The 19,611-nt window shown below is 41.5% G+C and overlaps 1 long non-coding RNA gene across 4 annotated transcripts in view, besides 1 other annotated feature; it reads left to right on the top strand.

Moving 5' to 3' along the window:
* ARNT2-DT (ARNT2 divergent transcript) overlaps positions 1–19,611 on the top strand; it is a 59,344-nt gene that overhangs the window by 534 nt on the left and 39,199 nt on the right. For all 4 annotated transcript variants that reach the window (NR_184068.1, NR_184070.1, NR_184067.1 and 1 more), the window contains exons 2-3: positions 78–161; positions 5,657–5,719. This is a non-coding gene — a long non-coding RNA (ARNT2 divergent transcript). The remainder of the gene's footprint in view (positions 1–77; positions 162–5,656; positions 5,720–19,611) is intronic.
* Positions 15,287–15,456: an enhancer, noted in NCBI's record as "experimental_41531 CRE fragment used in MPRA reporter constructs". NCBI's record gives its function as "activates a minimal promoter by MPRAs in K562 erythroleukemia cells, with activity observed for the non-introgressed 15:80680634 variant allele {active_cell/tissue: K562}" and the evidence as "EXISTENCE:reporter gene assay evidence [ECO:0000049][PMID:34662402]".

Here is a 19,611-nt window from a genome sequence, read left to right as displayed (position 1 = left end):
TATTACTTGAGGGCGCTGCAAGGGCCTTATTTACACCACCAAGTTGAGAATTTAAAAAGATTTTTTTTTTTAAATAGGTTTATCTGCGTATCCTGGCGAAGTTTGGATGCAGAGAACTTGGAGCTGTTGTTTTCTACCAGACACTAGGATCCCTGAGAGAGGTAATGGCCCCTAGGAAGGACACGTCACCATCGGGGTCCCCTGTAAAGGTTAAATGGAAGAATAAAGACATCCCAGGTGAACGCTGAGAAGGGCAAGTTGGTCCCTAAACGCAGATAATGTTTGCAGAGACATCAAACTGTCTTAAATCCTTCCAAGGAAGCATTTTCTGGAGGGCAGAAAATTTGGGATGTATGTTCAAATAAGCATTTTCTTCGGGGAGTATTTGTCACTACTAATCTAATAGTCTATCAGTTCTACAAATGTTGAATGTCTGCTGTGTGCCAGGCACAAAGCCAGGTGTTGGGCCTACCATGGAAAGGAAGAAACAGGAGCTCTGTTCTTCTGGTTTGGGGGGTAGAGTGGGGAAGAGTGAAACAAAGTATCTGCACTCAAGAAGCACACAGCTCCCTTGGGGGCTTAGGGCAGAAGCCCTGAAATTGGCATCTCCAGCCTGTAGTCACTAATGAATGAATGAGGGCAGAGAGGAGGTGGAGTGATCAGGGAAAATGAAAATTAGGCTTTGAAGACATGAGTAGGACAGGTGGAAAAAGAAGACATTTCAAGTAAAAAATAAAGCAGGTGTGCACCCAGCCACAAGATAGGCCAGGCCCAGACAGAGAAACCAGGGTATCAGCTATGGCCCGCTCTTGTGCCCCGTATCAAAGTTGACTGTTCCTGATTCCAACATCAAGCCAAATGAGAATTCAGCCTCTCTTCTACATACCCCGAAAAGCAACACACTCAAAATACCAACTTAATTAATGTATAACGTATACTGGACTGAAGATTTCTTAAGGAAAGTAAAAGAGGAGGCTCTCTTCACTCACTCCACATCAAAAAAGGTAAAACTCCATCTCAGATATTTCTGCTACCCAGAGTCCCTTCTGGATCCTTCTCCCCACAGGCAGTTCAATCTCTGGTGGCCCATAAATAGCCCATAAATAGCACTTGGCATCACTGCCCCCTATCCCACGAGGCTCTTTTATTCTCCAACTTTCCACACCCCTTAGAAGGAAGCAAGTTCCTCTCCTTGGTGTTTATGTATCAGTTTAGCATTTCAGCCAGGACCCATGGCTCATTTTGTCTCCAAATACAGTTCTAATATCATCCCTAAAAAATAAAATATGAGTGAACATGACTCTTACGCACACACACATTTAACCATACAAATTTGTTGACAAGTTTTACTTTCTTACTCTGCTGTTGTGTTCTGCCCATTTTTCTAAATGTTACTCGGCTGATATCTTTAAAACTGGATCTTGCTCAAGCTTCCTACTTCTTGCACTGGTCCATTGCAATAAAAGACAGGCGACACGTGGACAACTGCTAGACACTTCCCAAGTCTGGAGTCGGCCGTGCTGTGGTTTTTGGTACGTAATAAATACGTTTAGATTTTCACAAAGGAGACATTTCATCTTCTCCCCCAGTCAGTGTATTTCAGAGGTAGAAAGGACCTTCGACATCATCCAATTCTGCCCCTGGAGTTTGCAGATAAGGAAACTGAGGCTCAGGGTAGCCAACGTCATGCAGCTTAATAGCCAGACAAGACTTAGAACTGGGCTACGCACAATACTGGGATTTGGTGGCTGGAGTTGGGGAGCGGTTAGGGTGTAGGGGAAGAAATAGAGAAATGGGCAACTCGCCTTCTCTCTCGTCTCTCAGTATTAAATAGGTTAAATGCTCAGAAACACTGATTGTGGATGAAAGCCCCCCACTTAAGTAAACAATCTGAAATGGAGTGGTTAGTCATTGTTGAATACTGAGTGGCATTTACACAACACAGTGGTCTTGCGCTAATTATGAGAGTCAGTAGACTGTGACCAGTTAACACAGGCTCAGGAATTCCACTCAACCTTTAAACAACCCAGAACTCTTTGAAATTCCAGAGGAGGCTGTTGAATTTGAAGCTGAGATTTGCATTTTTGAAAAGATTAATGCAGATCCACCGGGCCCATAGCACACGATTCTGAGCACAGCGCTCCTAGAAATGACCAGAGTTGACCAGCTGCTGTGCTAATGTGTACCAGGGTCCACAGCCTTTCTTTCTTTCTTCTTTTTTTTTTTTTTTAACTTGATGGGAGAAAGCAGCCACCTGAGTTCTGCTTCATATCCCTTTAAGTCCTAATACTCGAGACAAAGGATTTCCATTGTATAATATATAATGATCCAAGGCAATTTTATCTTTTTTTTTTTTTTGAGACGGAGTTTCACTCTTGTTGCCCAGGCTGGAGTGCAATGGTGCAATCCTGGCTCCCCACAACCTCTGCCTCCCAGGTTCAAGCAATTCTCCTTCCTCAGCCTCCTGAGTAGCTGGATTACAGACATGCACCACCATATCCAGCTAATTTTGTATTTTTAGTAGAGACGGGGTTTCTCCATGTTGGTCAGGCTGGTCTCAAACTCCTGACCTCAGGTGATCCATCTGCCTTGGCCTCCCAAAGTGCTGGGATTACAGGCGTGAGCCACTGCACCCGGTTTTTTGTTTATTTGTTTTTGTTTTTTGTTTTGTTTTTTTTTTTTTAGATGGAGTCTCGCTTTGTCACCAGGCTAGAGTGCAATGGAGTGATCTCAGCTCACTGCAACCTCCAACTCCCTGGTTCAACCAATTCTCCTGCCTCAGCCTCCCAAGTAGCTGGGATTACAGGTGCACCCCCCACCAAACACTCCCAGCTAATTTTTGTATTTTTAGTAGAGATGGGATTTCACCATGTTGGCCAGGATGGTCTTGATCTTCTGACCTCGTGATCCGCCCACCTCGGCCTCCCAAAATGCTGGGATTACAGGCGTGAGCCACCATGCCTGGCTAATTTTATGTTCTTTTAACTTCACTTTAAGATATGAAGAAACCAGGAATGAACGCATGGGCTTCTGCAGAAGGAGAGGCATGGTAGGGCTGCCATGGATATAACCACAGGCTTTCTCTCCATTTATATGTCTCCTCTCAACCCTTCCTTCCTCCTCCATTCTTTCTAACTTCTCTCTCTCTCTTTGCTGGAGATAAAGGCTCATGGGTCTGTGTTATCCCCACTGCTACCTCCTTATCTTTATTTCTACACAGGTGACAACTGCCCACGGATTGTCTGTCCAGGCACTACCCCCAGCCCCCACCCCTGCCTTCTTCTCTATCAAGTCTCTCCTTTACACCAAGAATCATGGACTTATAACAGATCAAATGTGGATGAGATGTTAGTTTTATACAAAAAGGCATAAGCACCAGCCTTTGAAGCGAAAGTGTGGTGTAGGTTTTTGCTCTGTCACTTCATGAAACTTCTCTAAGTCTCACTTTCCTCACCTGGAAAATGGGGATGATGTTACCTACTGTGCTGAGTTTTGGTGAAGATGACATTGAAGGAAGTAATGTGTGTGCTGTATACACTTTAGAGACTTTAAAATGTATTGTGATAGTATTGCAGAGGGAAGAAGAAAAGTATGGCAAGTCTCTGTCCCACAGAGATAGGAAGGGGAAGCTTGTCGTGCTTTACCTTCATGGAGAGTGGAGAGAAGGAAGGAAGGAGGGTGGGAGGGGAAACAGGCAGTCAGACCCAGGTGCTCTAGTTTCCGTGGAAGGTATATCAAGGCAGCTGATGGAATAGCCAAAAGCAGAGGGGTTTCTGGCCACCACCCATGTGGGAGTCTTGGGGAAGATAACACACAGGGTGGTTCTGCAGGGATCGAAGGATGTAGCTGCAAAGCTGGGCTTTATATGGCACTCCTGGCTCCTCGTGGCTCTGTGAAGTATGCTAGGTGTCCCACAGGTGAGGAGACATGAAGGCATTGAGGGTCTAAATTAACAGATATCTGGGTGAGGACTAAAAGGCTATAGTAGGCAAGATTGAATGAACAAGGCCCCAAACCAAGGCCACAGATATCAGCTCTCAGTGTGAGTCTTCCTAAAGATACCTTAATTTTCACCAGCCAAATGACCATCCCAGCCCCTCAGAATGGAGGCGGGCAAGGCTCTAAGGCTCCCTTTTCTCCCACCACTCCCTCCTTGACCACCTAGACACCACCTTGAAGGGGAGCTGGAAGTGAAAGGGAAAGGACCTAAGAATGACTGTGCATTCACCTGGGTGATGCTGAGCTTTCTAAGAGATGGTGTAAAACAAAGAAATACTATGAGCTCTCAAGGTTAAAATTCATTTAGTTCAAATGAGTATGGTATGAGTAAATTTCTCACCCTGCTACAGGGATAAAAAGAGACAATCTAAAGTGAAAAATATAACAGATGGAAACATATCCATGGTGAGAATGTACCATCCATGAACTCTTAGGAATCAAGACCGAGTAACATAGTACTAAACTGTACACAACAAAAACTACCAGGAATTTAAGGAGAAGCTGACAAAAATCACCTTACCAGTAGAGACTTTAACCAAGATTTTCTAGTTATTGGCAGATGAGATCAACAACAATGAAGGACAAATGTAAAATATGTTGATTTGAGGTTGATTTACTCTTGGCCTGTTGGATAACTCTGCCCCACTTACCATCTCCCTACTCCTCCCCGAGCATGGACCCAAAGCACCCGGCCCCAGGAGGAAGGCATGGGGCAATGACTGAGTGGGTTTGGAAACAATGATGGGACCACGATGTTACAGGCATAATCTTGCGTTCTGGCTGTGTCTTGTCTCTTGGGAGTTGTTCTCTTGCAAACAGAACCCTGTGTCCTGAGGCCTGAGCTTCTTTGTGTGTTGAAGAACAGCACATGCTTGTGCTGGTGCTTTTGCTGTGTTCTCTGGCTGTCTCAGGGGCTAGCAGCATGTGGGCTGGCCTTTTCTACCGCACAGGGCTGTGACAGCATTGCACTTTAGATTCTAAACTGCTCTCGGAGCATGGACTTGGAAGCCGGACAGTCCCCTGTTCGAATCTCAGCAACTCTACTTACCTGCTCAGTGTGAGTTGGACGCCCTGTGCCTCCATTTCCTCATCCACGATCTAGCGATATTAATAGTACGATCTTACAGGGTTCTTGTGAGAATTCAATGAGTTAATGTTTGTAGAAAGCTTAGAACATTATCTGGTATGTGGTTGGTATAGAATATTTGTTGATATTATTATCAAAGGGGTGAGGTAAGTTCAGCCTCCCATCCCTGAAATGAGATGGGACAAATTTAATTAAAATGAAAAAGCAACTGACAATTTGGAAAATAGTATAATGATGACTGTCTGTATCAAAAGCTAGCTGCAGAGAAAAATTCACAGCTGCAAATACTTGTTTATTAAATAGAAATGAATGGAAATATGTGAAATTAGCATTTAGCTCAGAAATCTCAGGGTCAATAAGTGTTTTGTACCTGAAAACACCCCAACTCACATTAGCTTATGTAGCCATATTATTGGTAAGGTGCTAAGGATGCCCAGGTATCCCAAAGGAAGGGTTAACAACCAAAACTCAGAAGGGCAGGGATACAGTTCGACTTCAGGAAAACTGGGACCAGGCATCTGGACTTCACAAGGACTCCCTGTGTGTATTTTCCCCTCTCCTTCCCTTCAGGTGTCATTCTTTCGCGCTGCACACACCTTCCTCCACGTGGTGAAGATACATCGCTCCTGACAGGTAGGATGGAAACTATCTTTGGCTCCCATGATCAGAAGGGGACACCCTCTCTGGAAGGAATGGCGACTTAGGGAAAGGTTGGGGGAAGCCTTGATTCGAGTCACATGCCTGTTCCTAGGCCAGCCTTGCGCTGGGGACCATGCTGTCCCAGGTGGGGAGAGGAGACAAGAATATGTGGGAAGGAAGCCTCCCCTGATGGGACCTAGAGGCTGGAGCTCCAGAGAAGCAGAGCTCAAGATGATGGGGCTATGGACAGGCTAGGAGGACATTTCCATAGATGTCTGCCACAAAGTGGGAAAAAAAATTATAGCAAGGGAAAAATGAACAAAGATAAATGCAGAAACAAATTTAGCAAGCACAAAAAGAAACATTCATGAATCAGTCCAAGGGCAGAGGCTCTGGAATGAACCCCTATGTCTCTGATTCTACCTTCCTGTCCACTTTTACCTCCATAGTTGCTCCCCATTCCCCACCAATTATGCTCCAGTAAGATCCAGCCTCACAGTCATTTCCTACGTGCACCATGCTATTCCCTTTGCCCAAAATGCCCCTCTCCCCAGTGAACCTCTCATTCATCAGGAACCATGCATGGATTGCCTTCTGTCTTCCTGGTGGTGTGCTCAGGGCTTCTTCCGACATGTACTTCCAAATTCCTGCTTTCCCCTTGTTCTAGCACATATCTCACTACACAAGGATTGGTTTTTAAAATAACATCTTATTTAATTCATTAGGTATGAGCTACTACCTTCGTTTTTTTTTCTTTTCTGGTACCCAGCTCATAGCCGGAGCCATATGAAATATTCTAATACTCATGGAGTGAGTGATTGAGTATCTTATCAGACATCAGTGATCATATAAGCAGCATGTTTCCATCCCTTTGTCTCTTCCATGGCAGCATACATAGAGCTAAATGTTGTGTCTCCCTGCAAAAGCTAACACGTTTGCAGTGTTAGGGAACCCCAGCATCTCTCAATCGTTAACCCTTCTTCTCTGGATTTTTATTTTTAATTTCCTGCTTTGATTCTGACTCATATTAAAAGCTACATCAGTTACTCTTGGAGAACAACAGGGACATAGGAAAAAGAAGATATTCTACTCATCAGTTAGTGCCCTATTCAGTATAAGTCTTCATGTTTTCCCAGTCCATGGGAAAGATTTCAGTAACTCCATTTACCAGTTGTAGTTATAACAAATTCTCATCTACGTAACTCCATTTACCAGTTGTAGTTATAACAAATTCTCATCTACGCCCAGCACCTTCTGACTTTCAAATCATTTTAACACCATTATTTCACTGGTCCAGGCATTTTTTACTTGGTCTTATTAGTGAAGAAGTGCCACATATATGAAATTATTCAGATTTTAATAGCTAACCACCTTCCTGTTGTATTAATTCATTTTGGAAGCCACCTGCGTAATTGAAAACAATCTTTTTGAGCATAATATGATTATCTGGACGTCTTAGCAAGTAATGCTGAATATGTGCATCTGATCTTTTCTTATGTTATATACAGAGAAGTAATCTTTGCTTAAAAATGCCAAGTGAATTAATAGGGTTGGTTAATGATTAATCTCTCTTTCCAAGTGATTCTCAGCATTCTGTTGGCGTTCACACTGGTTACTCTGATACAACAGGGCTCGGCCAAGTTCATTATCCAACCGACTGGTCTGGGACTGCGCGATCATTAGCATGCAAATTACCACAAACAAAGGACAGGTGACAATGACTTTCCTTCCTGTAGGTCACACTCTTAGAGGGAAATGAAGCATGTTTTTGTTTAAGAAAATTTATTTCAAGAACATTCAGTCTAACTCATTGAGGAATTAGATTTCGGTCCTTTGAATGTATGACTATTTCAAACACAGAGTCATAGAATTTTAGCGGTGACCTTAAAAACCATCTAGTACACAATTTAGAGGTAAACCTAAGAAACTTTCTCATTTTCCCTGTGTATTAGACTATTAGGAAATTAAAGGTTGGGGTGGAAGAGAGAGGTGCTGCTTTTGCATGTTGAGCAAAAGTGGAGGAGTTGTGGGTTGGAGGGAAGTTGTGGGTTGGGCAGAAGGAGAAGCAGTCACAACTACTCCATTCTTGTGTCTTAAAGTATAACACAAATACCCACCACCCCTGCTAGGGAGAACTCCAGTTTTCACAATGTTTCCAACCCCCAGGCCTCTCTGGGCAGGTTGCGGGGGTGGTCCTCAACGAAGCTGAATCTTGCACAAACCTGCCTTGGTTGCCTCTTGTCACACTGTCATCCACTTCCCTGCCACCTCTACTCCAGACTTCCCTCCTGATCAGCACCCATCTCTTCCAGCGACCCTGCTTGATTTCTGTTCTCCTGGCACTGCTGCCAACACCATGGCTGCCATCCAGAGTTAGCCTCAGGGCAGGCCTCTGCTCTCCTCCCTTACAAAGGGCCATTCCTGCTCCTCCTTCTCACCTGCATGTGGGGTCAGAACCCAGAAGTAGTTCTAGCTATGGCTGCAGTAACTGCTGACTGCTCCAGAAACTCACCATTTCCCTGTGTTGCTAATTCATCTAATACTTGCACTGGAAACCAACTTTCTATTAACTGAAAAACAAACCAAAGAGGTGTGTTGGTACCATCTGGCTGGCCTGCCTCTGGGTGCACCCCTCACCACCCACATACTCCAGCCCTCACTACACCTTAAATCCAGAGTTCCAATTCCTTCTAGCCTCCTGAACGAGGGAGAAGTTCCTTCCTTAGCCAGTCCAGAGCCCACCTCAATTCCTGGCTTAAGATTAGCTATTCTCCTAGGTGATTCAAAATGAGACACCCATTCCTTCCTGATCTGCCAAGATGGGGGTCTCTCCTGCCCGCGTGGTCTCAACAGGACAATGATGAGAGATGGATAATGGTACATTTCTCTAGGTCTGGGTTTCTCAATTTTATACATTATTAAAAGTCAAACCCCTGGCTACAAAGGAAAATCACTGGTAAGAATGTGGGATGATGGCAAAGACAGGGCTGGGGTCGTCTCGTTCCTACACTACTGTTGTTAAACTCCAACGCACTACAACATTGAGGAAAAGAAAATGCTTAGAGGAAAACACAAATCCTCACCTGGTCTCTATTTCATCAGTTGAGTCTCTAAAATTGTAACTTAAACAGAATATTTGTATATCAAATCATATTCATGTTACATGATACTTGAATAGGAAAATCCCTGACATTCCCAATATTCATTATGAAAAGCATTCTGCTTTTGTTCCTGGTACCTAAGTTGTTTACATAATGCATAAGAATTTGACCAAATGGAGAGCCAAGGGCAGGGCCTTAGCACCCTTGCTGAGTGTGACATGTCTCAGAGGTTGTTCATATAATGTGTCTTTGAAACTCCCATTTTTTCTTTTTTTCTGGACCAAAGTATATTCCTAACTAGGTGTTTCCCCAGTCATCCTACTCACAGGGCTCAAAAAGAAAAGGAATTTGTTTCCTGAGTTGGCATGATGGTTTCTGAAGCTGTTTCTGAAATTCTGACCATAGCAACAGGAAATTGAAGGCAAGATACTAGAAATAAGCACAAATTAGATACAACTGTTTAGGGCAGATGTTGACTTAAAAGAATATCTTTTTTGGGTCAAATGCAAAAAAAAAAAAAAAAAGAGCTAGAAAATCTAACAAGACCTGCTAAAGATGAATGTGTATTGGAGGAGAGGGGGAAGAATAAAGACTTGTTACAAGTAACATTTTGGAGAAAAACAAAATAACAAGCAATGATACACAAGAACTTCTTTGTCAATAGCAAGGAATGGTCTATGAGGAGCCTCGTCAAGAAACAAGATGTGTCCAGGACTCAAGTAGTTCCCTAATCATGCTGCCAGTTCTTCTCCTTGATGGGGGCACATTAGGCTGTTATGTATGACTCAGTGATATTGGCCACAAGGCCATGTTTCTAATCCCCCGTCACTCCACTTCTGGCCTATACTTCACATGTGTACATACACACACCCCACCCTGCCCCAGCAACCTTCAGAGGATAATCTGGCTTCCTAAGGAGACTTTCCTCTAAAAGGTAATGAGCAGATCAGCCCACAGGTTCACTGTAGTGTACTTGCCATTTTTGCTCCCTATTAAAAATAAACTGATATTTGATCAGTTCAGTCTGTCCCTCAGGACCTGATGAGCTCTGCTTGAGCTAAAAAGAAAAACCAAGGTTCCAGACCAAGGGGAGTAGTCATGCCCCAGGGTGATGCTGAGCAGCCCCTGACCTTTCTAGAGAGCATCTTTGTCTCACTGATTTCCAATTTTAATCTGTAAATAACTATATCATATTTATTTTTATGTGAGTATTTAGGTCAACGTCTATATATATGTGCATATATATATATATATATATATATATATATATATATATATACAAACTATGTCTATATCTACAAAGTGTCTAAAATATTGCAAAATTGTTTTATATAGATTTCATTTAACCCTTTAAAGTAACTCTTTAATGTAGTTAATATTATTTTCATTCTATAGATCTGGTGACTGATACTTACAGAGTTAAAGAGGAATTTGCCTAAGGTCACATAGCTGATAAGTGACATAGATAAATATGTGAATACAGACAAATCTGACTCCAAAATTCTTGCTCAGTCAATCTTAAAGTATTAATTTATGCAAACTAGAGCTCTCTCCACTGATAATGTTATCCCATTTTAACACAGAAACTTGATATGTAACTTCTCTTGCTAACTTAGTGAAGTAAATTGGAATGAGATTGAGGAAGTTCTCTGTAAATAGGGGAAACAAAAAATAGAGTAAGGTATTCAGGATTCACATATAGAGCAAGATCTACATTCAAACTTTTGAGAAAGACTTAAGTAAATGAAATAAACGGAAACAGAGGCTTAGAGAGACTCGATAACTTGCCTAAGATCATACAGCTAGTCGCAAACATGGTCAAGATTCAAAATCAGGTATCTGCATAGACTAACAATGCAGGAGCCAGCAGGCTAACCACTCTGAGAACTCATCATTGTGCTTTCACTGGTAGGTGATTGCATCTTATGATGCTACAGGATGCGAGAACAAGGGGTTGGGGTAGGTGAGGTGAGTAGGCTTTTTACAGTTAATAACAATACTAGCTCTGACACTATTTTTTGTAGAATAAGATAAACATGCTAGGAATTGATAAATAACAAAAAAAAAATAATTCATAAGCTACCAAGGCCCAGCCAAGTGGTGGGATCCTAAAACGTCCCTAGAAAGTAGCAGGTCTTTGCACTCTGTCAATGCAGAGATTGTTTACATGAAATAATGTTGAGTTTAAAAGAAAGCAGAAAGAAAGAAGCGAACACTAAGACTATAATTCTACGAGTGTGCATGTCAATAACAAAAGCGTTCAGAATGGAATTTAGAATGCTATCATTGGTTCAAAATGAGTTTAATACTCTTCATGTACTTTTTATTTTCTTTGAAGTGGTTTGTTTTCCCAATTATTCATATTTTTTATTTTGAAATAATTTCAGGCTTTCAATAGAGTTGCAAAAATAGTAGAAAGAACTATCATAAGCCTTTCACCCCAACTGTTAGCATTTTGCCACATTTGCTTTATCATTTCTTCTCTCTCTATACATATTTATATCTATATATATATACCAATATTGTTGTTTCCTAACCATTTGAGACTAACTGGAGACAGAGTCCTTTCTGCTAAATACTTCTGTGTATTTCCTGAGAAAAAGGGCTCCCTCTTATATAACCATATTATAATTATCAAATCAAGAAATTATCATCGATATAATTATCTAAGCTACAAACCTTATTCATTTTTTCCCAATTATCCCAAAATTGTGCTGTATGGAAAAAAAGAATCCTTGTTCAGGGTCCAACCCAGGATCACATGTTATATTTCATTGTCATGACTTTATGTCTCTTTAATCTAGAAATGTTTCTGCTTTTAAAAGATATTATTTTAGAGCAGTTTTAGGTTCACAGCAAAATTTAGTGAAAAGTACAGCGTTCCCACATACCCCCTACCCCTCCACACACACAGCCTCCTGACTATCAACATGTCTCATCAGACTAGTACATTTGTTATAGTCAATAAACCTACATTGACACATCGTTTTCATCCAAAGTCCACAATTTACATCAGGGTTTACATTTGTGATGTACATTCCATGGGGTTGGATAAATGTATAATGATATGTATCCACTTTTATAGTATCATAAAGAATAGTTTCACTACCCTAAAAATTCTCTTTGCTCCATCTATTCATCCCTCCTTCCCTACCAATCCCTGGAAACCACTAATTTTTTACTATCCCGGTAGTTTTGCCTTTTGTGGGATGTTATATAGTTTAGAACCATACAGTATGTAGACTTTTCAGATTAGCTTTTTCTTTATTTCTTCGAAAAAAAAATGGGATACATGTGCAGAACGTACAGGTTTGTTACATAGGTAACCATGTGCCATGGTGGTTTGCTGCACCTATTGACCCGTCAGTTCCCTCCCCTCATCCCCCAACCCCCAACAAGCCCTTGTGTGTGTTGTCCCCCGCTCTGCGTCCATGAGTTCTCAATATTCAGCAGCCACTTATGAGTGAGAACATGCAGTGTTTAGTTTTCTGTTCCTGTGTTAGTTTGCTAAGGATGATGGCTTCCAGCTTCATCCATGTCCCTGCAAAGGACATGGTCTCATTCCTTTTTATGGCTGCATAGTATTCCATGGTGTATATGTACCACATTTTCTTTATTCAGTCTATCATTGATGGACATTTAGGTTGGTTCCATGTCTTTGCTGTTGTAAATAGTGCTGCAATAAACATATGTGTGCGTGTGATTTTCTGTTCCTGTGTTAGTTTGCTGAAGATGATGGCTTTCAGCTTCATCCATGTCCCTGCAAAGGACATGATCTCATTCCTTTTTATGGCTGCATAGTATTCCATGGTGTATATGTACCACATTTTCTTTATCCAGTCTATCACTGATGAGCATTTAGGTTGGTTCCATGTCTTTGCTGTTGTAAATAGTGCTGCAATAAACATACGTGTGCATGTGTCTTTATAGTAGAATGATTTGTATTCCTTTGGGTATATACCCATTAATGGGATTGCTGGGTCAAATAGTATTTCTGGTTCTAGATCCTTGAGGGATCACCATACTGTCTTCCACAAAGGTTGAACTAATTTACATTCCTACCAACAGCATAAAAGCAATCCTATTTCTCCATAGCCTCACCAGCATCTATTGTTTCCTGACTTTTTAATAATCGCCATTCTGACTGGCGTGAGATCTCATTGTGGTTTTGATTTGCATTTCTTTGATGATCAGTGATGTTGAGCTTTTTTCCATGTGTTTATTGGCCACATAAATATCTTCTTTTGAGAAGTGTCTGTTCATATCCTTTACCCACTTTATTAATTAATTTATTTGTTTATTTATTTTATTATTTTTTTTAAGATGGAGTCTCACTCTGTCACCCAGGCTGGAGTGCAGTGGTGCAATCTTGGCTCACTGCAACCTCTGTCTCCTGGGTTCAAGCGATTCTCCTGTCTCAGCCTCCCAAGTGGCTGGGATTACAGGTGCCTGCCACCATGCCCGGCTAATTTCTTAGTTTTTTGTTTGGTTGGTTGTTTTATTTTGTTTTCATACGGAGTCTCGCTGTGTCACCAGGCTGGAGTGCAGTGGCGCAATCTCAGCTTACTGCAACCTCTGCCTCCCAGGTTCAAGCAATTCCCCTGCCTCAGCCTCCCGAGTAGCTGGGACTGCTGCCATACGCCACCACCCCTGGCTAATTTTTTTGTATTTTAGTAGAGACGAGGTTTCACAGTGTTGGCCAGGCTGGTCTCAAATTCCTGACCTCAGCTGATCCGCCCGCCTCGGCCTCCCAGAGTGCTGGGATTACAGGTGTGAGCCACTGTGCCCAGCCTCCTTTGCCCACTTTTTGATGGGGTTGTTGGTTTTTTTTATTGCAAATATGTTTAAGCTCCTTGTAAATTCTGGATATTAGACCTTTGTCAGATGGGTAGATCGAAAAATTTTTCTCCCATTCTATAGGTTGCCTGTTGAAGCTGATGATAGTTTCTTTTGCTGTGTAGAAACTCTTTAGTTCATTAGATCCCATTTGTCAATTTTGGCTTTTGTTGCAATTGCTTTTGGCATTTTTGTCATGAAGCCTTTACCCATGCCTATGTCCTGAATGGTGTTGCCTAGGTTTTCTTCTAGGGTTTTTAGGGTTTTGAGTTTTACATTTAAGTCTTTAATCCATCTTGAGTTAATTTTTGTATAAGGTGTAATGAAGGGGTCCGGTATCAGTTTTCTGCATATGGCTAGCCAGTTTTCCCAGCACCATTTACTGAATAGGAGATCCTTTCCCATTGTTTGAGACCAAACAGGCACACATTCCTGAAATACCTGTTTAACTAAAGCCTGGGTATAATTTATGGGTATAATTTATTACCCTAATTATTCAATAATTTACATATACAGAGCCATCACAACAAGTTAGAGTAGTATTGCTGACAGCTATCACTTATTGAATGCTTACTAAGTGTTAGGCACTATTCCAGGATATTTCTCACAACAACCCTAGGAGGATTGCTGCTATGGATTTACGGTATTTCATGGATTCTAGGGTTCTCTCTGAAATCAGGAGGTGGCTTACAGTCAGTAGTGTTTCACAGTCATTGTCATATTGGCATAATTGCTATGCTCTGCATGCACAACATAGACTAAAAACCTTTGGATGACCCTTCTAATAAGATCAAGAAAGTTCAGCATCGAGACTTGCAGAACGTCCTGGAGGCAGCATTGGGACAAATATGAGAAATGCTTCAACATCTAGTCCAGAGGATGAAAGTGTGAAGAAAAACATGTACATTGACTCTGAGTTGTAAGTGATTCAGAAGAAAGACTCTGACTATGATCCAATTTTAGGAAAAGCTTAACTAATATATGCTTGAGTGTCACATGATAAAAATCTACATCTAAATAAATCTGAAAGAGCTCTTTCAATAACATGAAATTTAAAATTTAAGTATTAACAAAATATCGTGTCATATTTTAATTTGCAAAGGGAAACAATTGACTCTTTTTGTCTCTTTTAAGAATATGCATTATCACAGATAAGACCTGGGCCCCAGTCCTTTTTCTAGAGTTGAAAATCAGAAGGAATATCAACCTGCAAAATAATGAAAATGTCTGCATAAATCGAGTCAGAAAAAAAATAGAACAAGATATAAATTTGAGTTAAAGGTGCCCTTGGGTGAAATATACAAGCAGCATATTCTTGACTTTTGCTCCCTGTAGTGTCCCCCAAAACACTCTGGCTCACATATGAGAACATTCACCATCGTTTCAGCTCTAATGGTGAAAGCAAGGCACACTACACAGCTTGAATGCTCTTTTCTATTTGCTTCTTGCACCTCATAAATATGTTCAAGCATTCAAATTAAATTGTATCTAAGGCAGCTCAACCCAAAAGATAATATTTTCTGCTCTCACAGGGCATTTGCCCTATTTATTCCAGACCACATTCAAGGAAAACATACTTCTCTTAGCATTTTCTTATTTTGCTGGAAGCAGAACGTATGTAAAGGACACCAAACTTAATTAGCGCATTAACATAATCACATCAAGTGTAGACATAGAACTTGACAATAGGAAATTGAGTAAATCAGCGCGAATGTTTTCAGCCCCGTGCTTTATAATTAGGGGAAATAAAAGGATAGCTTAAATCCTGCTGGATGCATTTACTATGGTTGCTTCTAATTTATGAGGTTGGAATTGTGGATACCAAAGAGTGCTTAAATTTATCTTCATATTTAAATGAGACAAAAGTTTAAGCACACATATTTTTCTATTTAGAGACTTCTTTTTGACCTTCTCTGCTAAATATATATGCTCTTTTGCTTTCAAAAGCACTTACCAAAGCTGTAATGCTACGGTGAGAAGTTTTGCAAATGAAAACAGGCAGCCATTGCAATTTCAAGAGCTCAGAACCCAAAAAACATAAAGTAGGCAAACAACAACAACAACAAAACCTGATGGAGGTTTTTTGAGGCTTGGCCTGTCTTTTATTTTATATTAGACTTTTCCCCAGAATTTGCATGAATTCATCACCCTCAGCTTCTTCCCCCAATCAGTGAAGGTGGTCTGGAATTATAAGTTATTTTCTTAAGGGAGGCAGAAAATTAGATGTATCGGGTGCTAGTTTTGTGACAATCTAGTTGACAAATCAAAGATAGAATACGTGGAGGATAGACACTATAGTAATTGCAGAAACAGGTCTTAGTGTCTGTCGCACAAAGCTGCACCTGTGGCTTACTTGCTATGTGCCCCTAAGCGATTTGCTTCACGTAAACCTCAGTTTCCTCATATGTAAAATGTAAATAAAGACACCTATTTCACTGCACTATTGGGGAAATCATTTCAAGTAATATAGATAGCACAGTGCCTGGTGCATGGTTAACTGCTCAATAGATGTTAACTAGCCAGAATAAGAATGAGATGCCATTATGGGGTTAGGATGTGAGTGGTTAATTGAAGATGCGCCTGGGAAATGGAGACCAAGTAGCTCCACACAGCCACCATCTCGGAAGGACCATAGCTTTCCTTATGTACTTCCCACAGGGAAACTTCAGGACAAACTCACTCCAGGTTTTGTTCTGAACTGCTTGCCTCAGTTAATTCCTGGCACCTAATTCTGTCTTGCTTTTGGTCTTAGCGGTTACTGTCTGATTATTCCTTAGACTTCTCTTCACTCTTTGGGTCTGGGTTTCCCCCCAACTCCCCACCCCCGCCCCCTCATCCCTACTGATAACAGGAGGTAGAAAGAAATTATTTAAGCAGATAGTAAGGGCAACAGAGTCCTCGGCAGATTTTCCGTTTTAATAAAAACAGCCCCCAAATCACTTCTTTTCTAACAAAGAGCAGCCTGAAAAAACGAGCTGCAGACATAAATAAGCAAGCTGGAAGCTTGCACATGTGAATGTGCCGGCAGCTGTGCCAATAGGAAAGGGCTACCTGAAGGCCAGGCATGTTCAACATGGAGGCTCCATCTTCCCCCTTCTTTGTCACCACGTGTACAGAAAAGAACCAGGCAACATGGCACCAGCCGGGCAGCGAACCCATCTGCATAGTAAAAAATTATGGTGGGGCGGCCAGCTTTTACACGCACTATGCAAATAGCACACCTGGTGCAACCAGTCTTTCATGCCTTATGTAAATCGGACACTACCCCCTCAAGCTCATCTATAAAACCTGCATTTCATTGCGGACGCGGCAACCATTTTCTCTGGGACCCCTCTCTGTAGCAAGAGAGCTCTTTCTTTCGCCTATTAAACTTCCACTCTGAACCTTACCCTCTGTGTGTCTGTGTCCTAGTTTTCCTTGGCCGTGAAACAACGAATCCCAGGTATTTACCCCAGACAATGATGCTGCTTCACTATGCTGGTTAAAACTTTCTTTCCATGCTCAATTGATTTTCATTTCTTCTACAAACATTCCTCTCTTTCCAATCTGAAGCCGAACCTTCTCCCTCTGACCTACCATTTCCATAGCTATGTGTGCAACTTGGGTTATTTACCTTATGAACAGTCCCAATCCAGTGCTTTAACAATGGGGGATGACTCACTTTCCCTAAGAACTTCCCTCACCAGCTGGGTGGGCTGCAGCTGCCTCTTGGTTCCACAAGGTCCAGACACAGAGCCCTTAGCTGATTGGATTTAGGGAAGACATACTTAGATGCTGTGAGGCAACTGTTTTCTGTGCTTCACCTAGAAAGGCAGAGTAGGACAGGTGGAAGAAAGACAAGAATGAAACAGACACAGAGAAACAGAGGTGAGGTATGAGGACTGCTCAGATAGCTGAGGGCTTTCTGACTGTGACTACCTCCCTTGAGAGGTCCGGTCACTTAAGCCTCAAGGCTTCACAAAGCATTCTTGAGTCCATTCCGAATTTTAGTCCTTAAGTCCCCTGAATTGTTGCCCTTTACTTACAACCAAAGAGTTTGTTGAGACAAATACATACGCAACAGAAGTTTTGACTTCATTATGAAATAAGTGACTTTTATAATGAAATTAGATTTGAGTTGTCAGATAGGTGGCCTCCTCTATCTTTGTGTCATTACAAGAACTGTTCTTTCTTCCCGCATCACACAAGCTCATAACTTGTTGGAGTTTTTTCTGCGCTGTGGGATTCAATGCATGCCTGCAGACCTCAGCCCACTGAGAATCCTTGGAGGCAGGAGTCCTGTTGACTCCCCTCTGCAACCGCAAGGTCTAGCAAGCATTTAAATGCCCGTGGCACGTGGAAGTTCTTTTTTTTTTTTTTTCCAGTAAATGCCAAGTGAGCAAGTCTCCACACTCAGGTTTGCAATGATGTGCCTGATTTTGCCCAAATTGGTGTCCTTGGAGAGCCTGCTGTAGAAGAAAGTGCTGTTCTAGAAACAGCCCTGGAAATTAGAAAGGAAGGGCCTAGTTTCCCATTATTCTGTGTTCTTGGACTTGGATAATTCTCAAGTACTGTCATCCAGGCAAATATTTTGCTAGTGTTCACCAAAGAAAATTAGCAACAGCTTGGCAATATTTAATGAAAAATTATTGATAATTAAAAAGTCTTCATTATCACTGATGCAGAATAAGAGACCATCATGTAAAAATGAGAAAAATACCATACTGGCATTTTTTTTAATGGGGCATAACATAACCTTTCTACCTTTTTCTAGGCCAAATGTTAGCTGAATTTTTAAGTTTGCCAGCATAGTTTAAGATAGGTTCCAAAACAAAAAAAGGTTGACTCTAAACAACATATATCCATTGTGATCGATGCATCACACATATTATTCATTGGAGGAAATGTTACGCTTCTTAGGTAACTTCATGGGGGGAAATCTTGAAAACAAGAGTAACCACTTATTGAGCATCCACTCTTCTCCTGGAACTTTATGTTATTTATGAACATTATTGCTAACACTCCTGATTACCTGGAAAAGTATATTTTATTATTGCCCTCTTGCATTTATGGAAATCAAAGTCTGCCCAGGGTCACACAGCTGGTAAAAGGTTTGGGCTGGGATTCATGTGCATCCTATTTCCAAAGTCTTGTCCTTGACACATTTTAGCCCAATAAGCAAATAAGGATATTATTTTGCATAAACTCTTTGGGTTGCTATTTTCCTAAAGGACCTCAGTGGCACAGCCAGAGCTTTTTATTATAAATAGACTAGTAATGTAAACGCTTCACCAAGGCTGGGGTGAGTTGGTGTCAGGCATCCCTTGCACATCACTCTGCTAAAGTAGGCAATAGCAAGCCTCATGCTTCACATGACAGGGTCAGCCAACTCCACCCAGTGCCTTTCCTGTGGGTTGCAACAGTAATATTAATAGATATCAGATAAGACCATCTTGAGTCCATCTGGCACGTGTTCCCATTACACTGCCTCAGAAAAGAAATTTTAACAGAACAAAAATCTCTCATAAATCTGCATAAGTATACAATTCTACTGTTGAAGCGTACCACTGTGTTGTTAATAGTTACTTCCGAAATCATGCCAACCGCAGAAAAATACAGGTAGAAGGTATCCCTGTCTTTACATATAAGTCCAAGGAAAGAATGCCAGGCCACAGGCTCATGGAATTGGGTCCCAGGAGAGGAATTTATCACTCTGAATTTAATTTTGAAAACAAATTCTCATTTCTTCTTTGCATTTTTCAAAAAGATAACTCCTTTTTTTTTTTTTTTGATGGAGTGTCACTCTGTCTCCAGGCTGAACTGCAGTGGCTCAATCTCGGCTCACTGCAACCGCCACCTCCCAGGTTCAAGCGATTCTCCTGCCTCAGTCCCCTGAGTAGCTGGGATTATAGGCAAGCACCAACACGCCCAGCTAATTTTTGTATTTTTAGTAGAGACGGGGTTTCACCA

Source organism: Homo sapiens, chromosome 15 (genome assembly GCF_000001405.40).
Source record: "Homo sapiens chromosome 15, GRCh38.p14 Primary Assembly".
NCBI classification, from domain to species: Eukaryota; Metazoa; Chordata; class Mammalia; order Primates; family Hominidae; genus Homo; species Homo sapiens.
The sequence above is the reverse complement of the archived record's forward strand: the minus strand, read 5'-3'. Positions and strand labels throughout refer to the sequence as shown.